A 13,671-nucleotide genomic window follows, 5' to 3' on the forward strand; every position below is an offset into this window, starting at 1 on the left:
CAAAACAAAAAAACAGGCAGAAAAATAAATGTTCGAGGTTGTGGGTTACAGTATAGTTTGTCACAAAGCTTGTTGCAAAATTGGAAAAAAGCTAAGTATTCATCAGTAGAGGAAGACTGAATAAATTGGGTTTAACCCTGCTATGGAATACTATATAGCTTTATTATTTTTTTGAAACAGAGTCTCTCTCTGTCACCCAGGCTGGTGTGCAGTGGCACGATCACAAATTACTGCAGCCTTGACTTTCTGGGCTCCAGCAATCCTCCCACCTGAGCCTCCCAAGTAGCAAATTTCACTTTTTTAAACCTCACTTTTCTAGATCACTTGACTTTTCTCCACAATATTACTTTAAAAAAAACAAAACAAAACAAAATGGAGTCTCTCTGTGTTGCCCAGGCTGAAGTGCAGTGGCACAATCTTGGCTCACTGCAACCTCCACCTCCCAGGTTCAAGCGATTCTCCTGCCTCAACCTTGCGAGTAGCTGGGATTACAGGTGCCCACCACCACGCCCAGCTAATTTTTGTATTTTTAGTAAAGACGGGGTTTCGATATGTTGGCCAGGCTGGCACAGTATTACTTTGGTAATTAAAAATAAGAATAAATTCTGGGACATCTAGCTATTTGTGGCAATGGCCCCAGTACTCTTCATGTGGGAAACAGATCCCCAGAGAGGCCTAGCTCTTTAATGCTAGAGTGAGAGACTCCTAGAGCCGGGAGATAGTAGCACAGGGCTAGCAGCAGGGTTTTAAGAGGTAGGGGCCTTAGGTTAGCTGAGAGTGGTCAGAGGGGTGGGTTTTAAGGAAGAATACGGGTGTTGTTAGGGCCAGGCCAGGCTTGACTAAGGAAAATGCCATGAAGAAGCTAGTTTCTTGTTTGTTTGTTTGTTTTTTTGAGACAGAGTCTCACTCGGTCACCCAGGCTGAAACACAATCTCAGCTCACTGCAACCTCTGCCTCCCAGGCTCAAGCGATTCTTGTGCCTCAGCCTCCCGAGTAGCTGGGATTACAGACGCCTGCCACCACGTCTGGCTAACTTTTGTATTTTTAGTACAGACTGGGTTTCGCCATGTTGGCCAGGCTGGTCTTGAACTCCTGACCTCAAGTGATCTGCCCGCCTCGGCTTCTGAAAGTGCTGGGATTACAGTTGTCAGACATTGGTGCCTGGCCAAAGCTAGTTTCTTGAGCCTTCCCACCACTCCCATCAGTGCCTTCTCCCTCTTCTCCACCACCTCCCTTCCCTAGTCCTCCCCTCATCCCTGAACCCAGACCTCCTCTCTAGACACAGCCTGTGTCTCCCTCCTGCTGCATCTCCCACTCCCTGCGAGTAGCTCTTGGCTGACTGTGCCTGGGAAGTGCTATGCTATTTGGGGGCAGGTGGAACCTTCTTGACACAGCTGGGCACCTTGGTTGGGCTACATCATATGATTAGGCTGGGGAGCTGTTGGGTGATACCATAGACAGTATGAGGGATACTGGGATCCACGTTTGGATATTTAATGCAACCAAGAATAAGGCTAGGGTTAGGCTCCACGACTCCCTGTGGCTTACCGGACCTACCAAAGCCTCTCTCAACTGGGCCCCAACCCACTCTTGTACGGGGCTGAGTTACCCAGTAGGCACAGCAGGTGCAGTGCCCAGGGCCCATAGAAATGTTTTAGCTTCTTTTAAAACCAGAAGAAATAAAGTAAATCCAATCAGCCTGGATTACATTCATCTTTATACCAACATAGTCATAACATTAATTTTTTTTTGAATGGAGCAAGAGCTCCGTGAAGGCTAAAGTGCCTAGGGCCCCTGAAATTCATGATGTAACTCTGATCTTCCAGCTTCTACACCAGTCACTCCCTCACCCCAATGTCCTCTGGGTTTCTCAGACCCACTGGGGCCACATGTCCTCTGTGGCTTTGCTCCTGCCAGGCTGCTGCCTGTGTAACAACTCTGCTTATTGAGCCCTTCCCATCTGAGGACTCATCTTCCGAGGTCTTAGGTCAAACATTGCCATCTTTGTGAGGCCTTATCTGATTCCCTAAGTGGAAGGAATTGCTCCTTCTAACTCATCCAGCACCTCTTGGAGCATCTCCAGGCTTGCTATGATTTGCTTACATTTAGCGTGTGAGTTCCACGGGGACAGGACCTCGTTTGACGTCTCACGTCTCCACGTGCTTGACACAATACATAAGCTAGATTTAGGGCCAGAGAATGTTTGGGGACATGAGACAGTGGCTGTAACAGAACTTTTCAGATGTGTGTGGTTCTTCATAGCCCAAATCAACTGATTCAGCTAAGGGACAACACAGGTAAGAGAACACAACGCGAGTTTCCTTGACCAATGCCAGAAAACCTTTATTTCCACTGAGACCTCTCATCCAATTCTCTTCTTTCCGGGAACTTTTTCCCTTCCCTACTCCAGGTCGTACCCTGGCCACTCCTTTCCTTTTGGCTGGCCAATGTCTCCTCTGTAGGCTCCAGAAGGCTCTCAGGGATGTAGGCGGCCTCCCGCAGGGTTGAGTTGCAATGGGAACAAAGACAGCTGTGGTCCCATAGCACCCTCATCTGGTGACATCCTGCTACTGACAGTCAAAAGAAGCCTTCCCAGATGAAATTTTAGTCCTCTGCGCAGCCATGCTCTTCTTCCAGCAAAAGAGCCATGTGCAGTCGGGTCTGCTCCCCATGGGGGCTTTGATGTGGGCCCAGCAGTGGATCAGCCTTCCAGACACGCTCAACTCTGCACACTCTTCCTGCCGCCTCAGGCTTTCCAGGACCCTCCCGAGCCTTATCAGAGTCCTTACCCTCAGGGCTACTGATACCTTGCTGGGTGACCTTGGACAGATTCACTTACCTGGACTCAGTTTCATAATATGAAAATGATAGGGTTGGGCTACGTGATTTTCACGTTGTGCTTCCAGATTGTTAGAAGTTAGGGGCTGGAAGGCATTACCTGTCCCTCTCTCAATTTCACTCATGCTACTTTGTTTTTTTAATCTACCTTTTATATGGGGCTTAGAAAAAAGGGTTCTGGGACAAACCTGAGAATCACTGGCTCCAGGAGCTTTCTTTTAACACTAACATCCCAGGATTCCTAAGTGTGCTCTCTCCACAATGGCTACCTGGCCCTGTTTTTCCTTTCTTTTTTTTGGAGATGGAGTTTTGCTCTTGTTGCCTAGGCTGGAGTTCAGTGGCGCGATCTTGGCTCACTGCAACTTCCGCCTCCCAGATTTAAGCAATTCTCCTGCCTCAGCCTCTTGAGTAGCTGGGATTACAGGTGTGCGCCACCATGCCTGGCTAATTTTTATATTTTTAGTAGAGATGGGGTTTTACCATGTTGGCCAGGCTGGTCTCGAATTCCTGACCTCAGGTTATCCACCCGGCTCGGCCTCCCAGAGTGTTGAGATTACAGGCATGAGCCACCGTGCCCGGCCCTGGCTGTTTTCCTATGCTCTGTGGAGGCCAGCCAGCTAGAAATGATTAGAATGGAGGAAGAGGGAATGAGAAGGCTGGTGGCGAGTGGTCTAGCGTTCTTGTGGTGCAGCGGAAGGAGCCCTGGCTCAGCATTGAAGAACGAGCCTCAGTCTTGGCTCCAGCCATCTGCTAGCTATGGGACTACAGACAAGCCCCTTTACCTGTGTCTCAGTTTTCGTATCTGTAAAATAGGCACAGTGGTTTCTGTCCTGTCTTTCTCACAGGATTACTGTACAGATAAAGTAAGATAAAGGACACCTGTCAAGGAGATATCTGTAAACAGTTCTACAGACTTCAGGTAATAATAGCAAGGGAGGATCTCTTAGACCTCTGATCTGTCTGTTAGAATATACTTTTTTTTTTTTTTTTTTTCCTGAGATGGAGTTTCGCTCTTGTTGCTCAGGCTGGGGTGCAATGGTGCTGTCTTGGCTCACTGCAACCTCTGCCTCCTGGGTTCGAGTGATTCTCCTGCCTCAGCCTCCCAAGTAGCTGGGACTGCAGGTGCGTGCCATCATGCCCAGCTAATTTTTGTACTTTTAGTAGAGATGGAGTTTCACCATGTAGTCCAGGCTGGTTTCAAACTTCTGACCTCAGGTGATCCACCTGCCTTGGCCTCCCAAAGTGCTAGGATTACAGGTGTGAGCCACTGTGCCCAGCCAGAATATATCATTTCACTGGACTCTGCAGGTGCTTTGGATGATCAAGGAATAGGACATGGCTGTAGAAGTACTTTTCTTCTTCTTTTTTGTTTTTTTTTGAGACAGAGTCTTACCTGTTGCCCAGGCTGGAGTGCAGTGACACAATCAAGGCTCACTGTAGCTTCAACCTCCGGGGAACAAGCAATCCTCCCACCTCAGCCTTCTGAGTAGCTGCGACTACAGGCATAAGCCACCATACCCAGCTTTTTTTTTTTGCCGGGGGGAGGGTGGGCGTAGAGATGGGATCCTCACTATGTTGCTCAGGCCGGTCTTGAACTCCTGGGCTCAAGCCATTCTCCCACATTGTCTTCCCAAAGTGCTAGGATTTCAGGCATGAGCCACTGTGCCCAGCCTGAAGTACTTTTCTTGAACTCAGCATTGCTGCCCTGAACCCTCCCCCAGCTGCCTTCCCTACTTTGGGAGCCTCTATTTCTAGAACAGGAAAACGCTAGGCTAAATATATGTCCTAATGGTCTCTTCCATCGGTGTGAAGGAAAGAAAATGGGCCCAATGTTGTTGCAAGGATTAGGAAGGTCCTGCCTTGCCACCCAGTGGGTTTAGAAATCCATCTTTACGGCCTCCAGAGAAGCTGGTGATCAGGTTCCCAGACATCAGCAATCCTGTTTCCTGAGGAGCTTGTGGGGGCTCTCTCTGGGGATGATCTGGGTCCTAGACAAAGAGCCACAACTGATGGGGGTCACTGGGATTGCAGGGGGCCATGGCTGGCTTTTTGTCCTGGGATGTCAGGCAGGTACCAGATCCTGAGTTCCTGATGAGCTGATCCTAAAAGATGACAAAGCAAAAGGTCAGTCTGGGCCACAGACCTCTTAACGGTGCTACCAGGGACAATGCGATGGGGTGCAATTGACAAAAGCCAAGGGAACCCCACAAGGCACAAAGAGGACACTTCCCCATTCCTTTCCTGCCCTCTCATGAGACACATTCCTGAGTTCCCACCTCTATCTGGTGCCAAATCCCCATCCCTAGCTTCAGACTGAGTGGATGAAATGGTGAAAGACAAGACCATGGGCTGAGAGAAAAATGCTTTCAGGGCCTCCCGCACCCCCAGATGGCCAGGCTCAAAGACCCAGGGCCACTGCTCCACCTCCAATTTTCTGCCTTGGATTATGTTTAGACTGCTCCCTTCCCTGCAGCCTCCAGGTTAGGTTCCTCTTTCCTAAGCTGGGGTGGAGTAGGGAGGCTCACTTGGGGTGCTGGCTTGAGCTCAGCATGGTGGCGGTTACATGGCATATCCTGGAGCAGTGTGGTGTAATGGAAAGAGCCCGTGCTTTCAAGTCAGACCCATCTGGGGCTAAATCCCAGGCCTGCCATTTACTAGTGATGGGTCTTGGGCCAGTCACAGACATGCTGGGCTTCCTCCGGCTCCAGCTCATCTGTAGAAACAGTGACTATTCCTGCTTGGAAAGAGCCTCTGAAAGATTAACTGGACCCAGGCATGTGAGTGCCTAGCTTTGAGCCTAGGACACAGAGGACAAGCAGGAACTATGAATGACTCTTCACCTTCTTCTAATTGGGTTCAGCCTAAAAATGCTTCAGCCATGGCAGAGCTAGCCACGAACCATAACCTGTCACCCCATTTTTACATCAGTCATCACCAAATACCCTTTAAGCCTGAAGAACCCTGCCTGTGGCCACACACACACTCACCTACCTTCTACATTGCTCTACTCCACCCCATGGCGTCTCAGGAAGAAAATGAAGAAAATATAGAGGGGCCGATGTGGCCTCAAGTTCTCTTTTTATTTTTTATTTTTCCCAAGATGGAGTCTTGCTCTGTCACCCAGGCTGGACTGCAATGGCACGACCTCAGCTCACTGCAACCTCCGCCTCCTGGGTTCCGGCAATTCTCCTGCCTCAGCTTCCTGAGTAGCTGGGATTATAGGCGCCGACCACTATGCCCAGCTAATTTTTGTATTATTAGTAGAGATGGGGTTTCACCATGTTGGCCAGGTGGTCTCGAACTCCTGACCTCGTGATCTGCCCTCCTCGGCCTCTCAAAGTGCTGGGATTACAGGCGTGAGCCACCACACCTGGCCTCAAGTTCTTGATTCTGAGCTTTCTGGACACTGACTCACCTGGGCCAATTCCCATTCCTCGTCCTTGGGGACCTGGCTATTCTTGCCAGTGAAGTGACAGCTCCCAAGGCCCAGAGCACCCTTGCTGACATGTAGACACAGCTGCTTTGCGATGTTGTGGCGAAGGTCCCTCTGAGTTGTGTACTCAAAGTACTGGAAATCAAGACAAGAGAAGCAGGTGGAGAGTTCACCCCCAGCCTTCCAAAGCCACCTGCCCTGAGCTGTCTACCATGCATGGTCTCCTGGGGAGGAGAGTGAATGTGAGGCCATGCCAAGACTTTACTCATTTATGTGCTGCCTTCAGGATTGTTACCATATCAGGGTTATGCTGGAATTTTATATACATATATATATATGTGTGTGTGTATATATATATGTGTGTATATATATATGTATATGTATATAAAATTCTTTTTTATGAGATGGGGTCTTGCTATGTTGCCCAAGCTGGTCTCAAACTCCTGAGCTCAAGTGATCCTCCCACCTTGGCCTCCCAAAGTGCTGGGATTACAGGTGTGAGCCACTGCGCCCAACCAGTATATTTTCTCTTTTTTTTTTTTTTTTTTTTTTTTGAGGCAGGGTCTTGCTCTGTTGCTTAAGCTAGAGTGTGGTGGCATGATCATAGCTCACTGCAACCTTGAATTCGTTTGTTCAAGCGATCCTCCATGTCAGCTTCCTGAGTAGCTGAGACTGCAGGCGTGTAGCACCACACTCAGCTAATTTTTTAAAAATTTTTTATAGAGATGGGGTGTCTTGCTATGTTGCCCAGACAGGTCTCAAACTCCTAGGCTCATGTGATCCACCTGCCTCACCCTCCCAAAGTGCTGGGATTACAGGTGTGGGCTACCGTGCCTAATCATATTTCCTTTAAATTAGATTAAAATTCAATTTAACTTAGCCTCATTTTAAGTAACATCCGTGAAATCATGTGATATGCTTGTTCTATTTTTGCTAATACATTACTATTAAAATAAAAAATGTTCTCCAGTGCACCACTGGAAATCATCTTGCAGGCCAGTGGTACAGGAAACTGCTGTAGAATGACTGTCTTCACCTACATATGCCAGCGGGCTTGTTCAGTGACCCACACCACTCCTTTCCCCACTCTGGCTCTGTTTTCAGTGCCTCTCACTTACTAGTGCTGGGCACCTAGTTTTGGGGTCACTGGAAGGTGGTAGGATCAGAGTGGTAGCTTCTGGGCAGAGGATGCATTGAAGATAGAAGTTGAGTGCAGGTGATGGGATGTGCTGGAAAATTTTCCACCCTCACCCCTAAATATCCCCCAGCAGCTAGCCTCCTCAAGCCTCCTCTGATGAACAACCCTCCCTCCCATCCCCTTCTCACACCCAGCACCGATGCCTCGTTCTCTCCGGATGTCCCTTATTCAGACCTTGTGTGTGTTATGCCTTCTCCTCCGACTGGAAGCTTCCTGAGGGCAGGGATGGTATCTCCTCCCTCCCAGTCCTCAGGAAAGGACTCTTTAGGGTAGAGAAAAGGAGCCGGTGAGGAGAGGAGATGCTCCGGAGATGGGTGGGCTGCATACCTGGTTGCCGCCAAGGCCGTGGCAGGAGTACATGATGAGGGGCTTCCCCCCGCGGTTGTTCTCACCCACATCCAGGCATTGGTTGGTGCCGAGGTTCTTGATCTGCAGAAGGGTGAGCAGAGAGGGGAAGCAGGATGGCACAGTCAGGAGGTTCCTCATGTGTGGTATGGGGCCCCACTGGAACAAATTCCAGTCAACTGCAACAAATTTGCATGGCTGGATTTCCCCCGTCATTTCTCTCCTCTGTGCGTTAACCCACATGCCTGGAGCTAACAGCAAAGTGAGCTGCAGAGCCCCAGAGGCTGGAAAGGGCAGGACTGAACCCCTCTGTGGGGCAGGCAGGGAACCTCCCAGGATGCCAGGTCCCTGGAAGAAGCCCTCAGCACGTGGGAGTTTCCTTATAAGCAGTGGTTCTCAAATGTGAGCCCTGGACCATCAGCATCACCTGGAGACTCGTGAGAAATGCAAGTTTTCAGACCTCCCCTGAGTCCTTCTGAATCAGGAACTCTGGGGATGGGCCCTAGCGTTTTACCGTGCCTTCCTGGTGATTCTGATGCATGCTAATGTTTCAGGACCACTGCTTGTGGGTTGTTTTGCCCTTTATAAGGTTTTTTGCTATCTCTAGAAGCCCCAACGTGGCCTCTCAGTCCTCCTCCTGGATAAAGGAGGGTGCAGGGCAAAACTCAATTCTTGTTTGTCATCCATCTGTGGGGTCAGTGGTCTTGAACTTCTCCAAGGGGTGCTGTGGTGATGGGCAGGCAGGTTGGTTCTCAAGACTTACGGCACCATAGAAGGTGGGCGTCAGGTCAGGAACAAACATCTCTGGGTAGACATTGTGCAGGTACCAGGAAAAGTTGTGACAGTGCAGTTGTTCCCTCAGCTGCAGTCGTTCCGAAATGTCACCGAAGGATTTCTGTCAATCAAGCCAGCCCCCTAAGGATCAGTTCCACCAGTTTTTTTTTTTTTTTTTAAGAGGGAGTCTCACTCTGTTGCCCAGGCTGGAGTGCAGTGGTGCAATCTCGGCTCACTGCAACCTTCCCCTCCTGGGTTCAAGCGATTCACCTGCCTCAGCCTCCTGAGTAGCTGGGACTACAGTCGCGCACCACCACGCCCAATTAATTTTTGTATTTTTAGTAGAGATGAGGTTTCACCATGTTGGCCAGGCTGGTCTCAAACCCCTCACCTTAGGTGATCTGCCCGCCTCGGCCTCCCTAAGTGCTGGGATTACAGGCGTGAGCCACCACACCCAGCCAGTTCCACCAGTCTTTGACCTTCCTGTCTGGGCTGAAGTAGTGCAGATAGCATGGAGCGCCTGGGGCTACTGTCTCTCATGTTCATTCCCACTCAGGACCTGTTAAAGATACTGGCCCAGCCCTCACATCCAATCCCAAAAACCCCGCCTTAGCTTTGGAGTCCCCTGCTTATCGGTCCATCTCCTGTGACTCCCCAGACAATTATGTCCCACTCCCCAGTGCCGAGGCTCTCAGAGCCATTCCTCCAAAGCCTCCAAAGCCTCCGTAAGAGGCTTTTCCTCCAAATCTCCTTTCCCTCCCTTCCCCTCCAAAGGGATGCAGAGACTCTATGCGTAGGGACAACATTCTCTAGCTTTTGAAACCTATGTGCCTTGTGGCCTTCTCCTGGGCTCTAGCTCACAGGTCCCTGAGGGTGAAGGGAGGCGCCAGATGGTAGAGATGAGGTGGGTCCCAGCCATTAGGCCCATGAACAGGGTCTGGGGGCCGTACTTCTCTTCATCTAAACCTCTCCGAGAACCATTTCCTCTCACCTCTTGGGCCATCTTTGCTGCCTGCAGATTTCTCCTATAGAAAATCTTCTTGTAGCTGTCCATCCAGACCTCTGCCAGGCGCACTTGATTGCGAGCAATGACACTAGTGCCCTTGGGGAAGGTGTGGGGGCTCTTGGTCCGGAACACATGGCCTACGACAGAGCAGGGGATGATCTCCAGCTGGCCCCCACACTGCCACACCTGATGTAAGAGGAGACAGGATGAGGCCTTCAGTGGGCTAGGTGAGACAGTCTCCCCATAAGCAGCTCTATTCTATTCCCAGAGCACCAGACCCCAGGTCCAAGGACTTGGGCAAATGCTGCTCTCTCTCCCTGGGAAAAAGGATACCGACCAGGCTTCTTCCTAGGCCATGACTACACGATCCCAGGCTTTCTGATGTTGGTTCACTCTGACTTAAGCACAGGGAGACTGCAGGGTCCTGTGTTTACCAGGGCCCACTTTAGGGAAAAGCCTGCTGGTTAATTTTTGTTACCTGTGCCTGTATACCTACTCTGAGCTCTGATCACTTGGCTTTTTGACCTGGAAATGTGAGTTTATCAGCTCCCTCAGGTGATAAAAACCAGAGCATCAGTCTGTTAATTAATAGCAAGGATAGTTGGCTGCTAGGTGGCTAGTGGTAGTCACTTGGGCCCTTAGCACACTGGCTGCCTAGGAAGGTGAACAGAGGTCAGAGGCTCATGGAGGAGCCTAGGATTGGGCCGCTGGGAGTTGGGGTGACTGGCAGGTGACCCTTTTCTATGCTGGTGGGCTGGCTGAAGACATCCCTCCCACTGGTTTCTTCTTTTGGGTTTTAGGTGGGAAAGTATGTTGTTATTCATTTTAGTGTGGCAGCAACAGAAATACATAATCGTTATAGTAACAGCAGGCATCAATTACGTGCTTAATATGCATCAGGCACCGTGAGAGGTGACTTCATAAATGAGCTCATCTACTTACTAATTACTTTTCCATGGCATGGAGATTTGTGTAGGTTTCATGGAGAGGCAATCCTTGCTTCCTGACCTAATCCTGATTTGCCTAATTCCTGGAATCTCTCAGAGTTCTGGGGTCCACCAGAGTTGGGGCCACCATCTTCTCTGACTGTTATGAAGGGCTTATTGTACATAGGTAGGGAAACTTCAAAGGTTACCAGGGCATGTGTCCTTTGAACTGGGAAGGGGAGCCTGATTTTTCCAGAAAAAGGATGATGACTGGTTACTCATCTGTTTTTTTTTTCTAGCCCTAGTTGTGAACATACTAACCTGTTTCTATCTTCACCCTAACCCTTTCCCACAGACATCGCAAAAGAGTCCCCAGTCACCAGATGTCCAGTCCTCATTACCCCTATTATTCCTTGCCTCTGAGAAGTTGTGCCCAGTAGTTTGTTTTGAGCTGTCCAGGCTGACTGCCCAAGCCCTACTGCCATGGACAGGGGGAGCAGAAAAGAGGAAGAGACACACTGGGAAATAGCCACCCTTTCTAGTTCAGTTCCAGATGGGATGTCCCTGATGCCACCTCTGCCTGAGAGATGTTTCTCAAGCTGTCGCCTGGGATGTTGTGGTTCCCCCCAAAGCCCTCTTCACTCTCACCCGGAAGGACATTTCCACGTTCTCCCCTCCCCAGATCTCCATCTGATTATCATAGGTACCGATGTGCTCAAAGTAGGACTTGGAGATGGAGAAGAGGCCACCAGCAAACGTCGGGGATCTGGAGAGACAGAGGGAGAAGTGTGTGCATCTTCTGGGAGAGGAGGAGCGGAGCCTGGCGGGGAAAGCTGTTTGTGGACTCCCCTCCTAACCCACCTCCCCCTCCTTTCCTCTTTCTCAGGACGTGCAGCCCCTCATCCACTAACTCACTCATCATTTAGCTTTTACTATGTCCTCTTCCCCTTCTAGGACCAGGTCAAGGAAATATGTAATTATCCTCTAAAAGGCACTCATTCATTCGTTCAACCTAGGATGCACGTAACACTGGCCACCAGGGCCCGTGCTACATGATGGACACACAGAACGGAGAAAGACAGATCCTATTCCCCCAGAGCTCAATCTAGTCACAGAGGTTAAAGCTACCATTAGTTACTTTTTGGCAGCAAAGTGCCTGGAGCCTAGGAGATACTCAACTTTCAGAAGCTGTGTGAAATTGTTTTTGAAAATAGGCAGGATTCAAACCATGAATAAATGAATGAATGAATATTGTCAGCTGGGCTGACTCCATTCTGTTTCAGGGCCCCTGCCCCTCAGGGACTATTAAGCCACAGTTTTAGTAGGCGCCTAGCCCTGGTGATTTACACTGCATGAGAAACTGTAGATTTGGGGAGAAGTTGCCAGTTGCTTTTAACAGAGAAAGCTGATAAAAGGTGCTCCTGGAAACAGTGGAAGGTCAGGTGAGATCAAGCTCAATTTGGGCTACAGGGAACATTTAGAAGGTTATAAAAAGATTCTGGCTTTCAGACACAGGCAGGGAGGTGTGGACTCAAGATAAGATAAATTGACAAAAACATCTAATTCCTAGAATTTAGATACCAGGTTGCTTCGAAGAGGGACTGGGCTAAGCGTTAGGGTATCGAAGCGGACCCGGGGAAGTATAAGCAAGATGGAATGCTGGGGTGGGGGCCGGTGAGACATGGCAGGAGCACAATCATCAGCTGCTGGTTTCTGTTTGGGCCAGCCTGGCATGGCTAGGGCTTTGCTGCCCTCAGTGGGCAGCTTCATGTGGTACAACCAAGCAGAAAGATACAGAACCCCTGTAACCCCAGAACCTATCTAGGTGCCTTACACACAGCTGGGGCCCAATCACTGTTCATTCGCATGATCCATCAAGGTGCCTACCCAGGAATGTGACCCTGGTGTTACCCTGTGGTTGCTCTTGTCTACCTGAAGTTGGCTCCTGCAGCCACTTTCTGGAAGGAATTTCAGTCGTGCTCAGGCTGGCTTCCTATCACTTTGGAAGAGGCTCTGGCCTCTCCCAGGGGTCTTAAACCGGCACAAGTAGCACCCTGAGAGGCTCAGAGAGTGCTGGAACTGCAGAGGAGCACTTGGAAGCCAACCTGCTTCCTCCCCCACAGGCCCTGAGTCTTGTCTTTGAGAAGTCTCCCAGACCGAGAAGTCACTGATGGATTAGCCATGAGGACAAACCCTGCATGGGAAGCTTCACTGTAAATTCACAACCACAGGCAACCTCTAGTAAACACCCTTTATGTCCTGGCCTACCCCTAGAATCCCCCAGGTCCTCTGCCTCTCCTCTTAGGCTCTGGTTGGCTTGAGATGGGAGGCCGGGAGGGGACTGTCAGCAGTCCTCCTGGGGTGGGGGCGCTACATGAAGAGCCTCGGCAAGCCATGCATGCTACCGGGGCATGTGGGCCAAGGAGCACATTCATTCCTCAAACACTGGAGCTTTGTCTTCCAGTTGTATGGCCCTTGGACATTGAAGCCTGCGACGTCAGTGATGGGTGGGGGCCAGGTGCCCTCTTTCTGACTGTGCTGCTGTGTGCCTGGTCACTGGCATGGGGGTGGGGGTGGGGATCTGTTGCAGTGCACACCAAACAAAAGGCAGCTATGAAACAAACATTGGGTCAGTGGAAAGTTCCAATTTCTTTTCTCTCTTTTGCCTTTTCCTTTCCCTCTCTCCTTCTAATGGAGACAGAGCAGCTGGCTGTTCAGGATCTGTGGGATTTCTCCCTGTGGCATTCACCTGAGTTCCTTTCTACTGGGACTCTGAGCAGGTTTTTTTTTTTTTCTTTTTCTTTTTTAAGAGATGGGGTCTTGCTATGCTGCCCAGGCTGTTGTTAAACTCCTGAGCTCAAGCAATCCACCTAATCCACCTCAGCCTCTCATCTAGCTGGGATTACAGGTGTGGGCCACTGTGCCTGGCATGGACAGCATTTTTTAGGATTCTGGGCACGTGGAGAGGAAGAAGCACCAATCCTTTCCTCCTTTCAAACCTTCCCTCTTATCTCTGGCTACTGTATCTCCAACCTCTGCATCCCTCCGTCCTGGATGTATATTCAGTTGAGCCTTAAGTATACTGGCCAGTCTAAGATAACAATGACACAAATAATCCCAAACCACAGGCTACACTAAAAGTCACTCCTCA

The 13,671-nt window shown here is 49.9% G+C and overlaps 1 protein-coding gene across 21 annotated transcripts in view, besides 1 other annotated feature; it reads right to left on the reverse strand.

Moving 5' to 3' along the window:
- Positions 1 to 1,699: 1,699 nt before the first annotated feature.
- GALNT6 (polypeptide N-acetylgalactosaminyltransferase 6) overlaps positions 1,700 to 13,671 on the reverse strand; it is a 40,422-nt gene continuing 28,450 nt past the window's right edge. For all 21 annotated transcript variants that reach the window (XM_006719214.3, XM_005268607.2, XM_047428175.1 and 18 more), the window contains 6 exons: positions 11,169 to 11,286; positions 9,580 to 9,780; positions 8,578 to 8,709; positions 7,797 to 7,898; positions 6,254 to 6,406; positions 1,700 to 4,940 (listed from right to left, as the gene is read on the reverse strand). In XM_006719214.3, coding sequence (XP_006719277.1) covers positions 4,827 to 4,940; positions 6,254 to 6,406; positions 7,797 to 7,898; positions 8,578 to 8,709; positions 9,580 to 9,780; positions 11,169 to 11,286 — 820 coding nt within the window. In that variant the 3' untranslated portion in view covers positions 1,700 to 4,826. The remainder of the gene's footprint in view (positions 4,941 to 6,253; positions 6,407 to 7,796; positions 7,899 to 8,577; positions 8,710 to 9,579; positions 9,781 to 11,168; positions 11,287 to 13,671) is intronic.
- Positions 8,252 to 8,301: an enhancer, noted in NCBI's record as "active region_6378". NCBI's record gives its function as "activates an Ori minimal core promoter by ATAC-STARR-seq in GM12878 lymphoblastoid cells {active_cell/tissue: GM12878}" and the evidence as "EXISTENCE:reporter gene assay evidence [ECO:0000049][PMID:35858748]".

Source organism: Homo sapiens, chromosome 12 (genome assembly GCF_000001405.40).
Source record: "Homo sapiens chromosome 12, GRCh38.p14 Primary Assembly".
NCBI classification, from domain to species: Eukaryota; Metazoa; Chordata; class Mammalia; order Primates; family Hominidae; genus Homo; species Homo sapiens.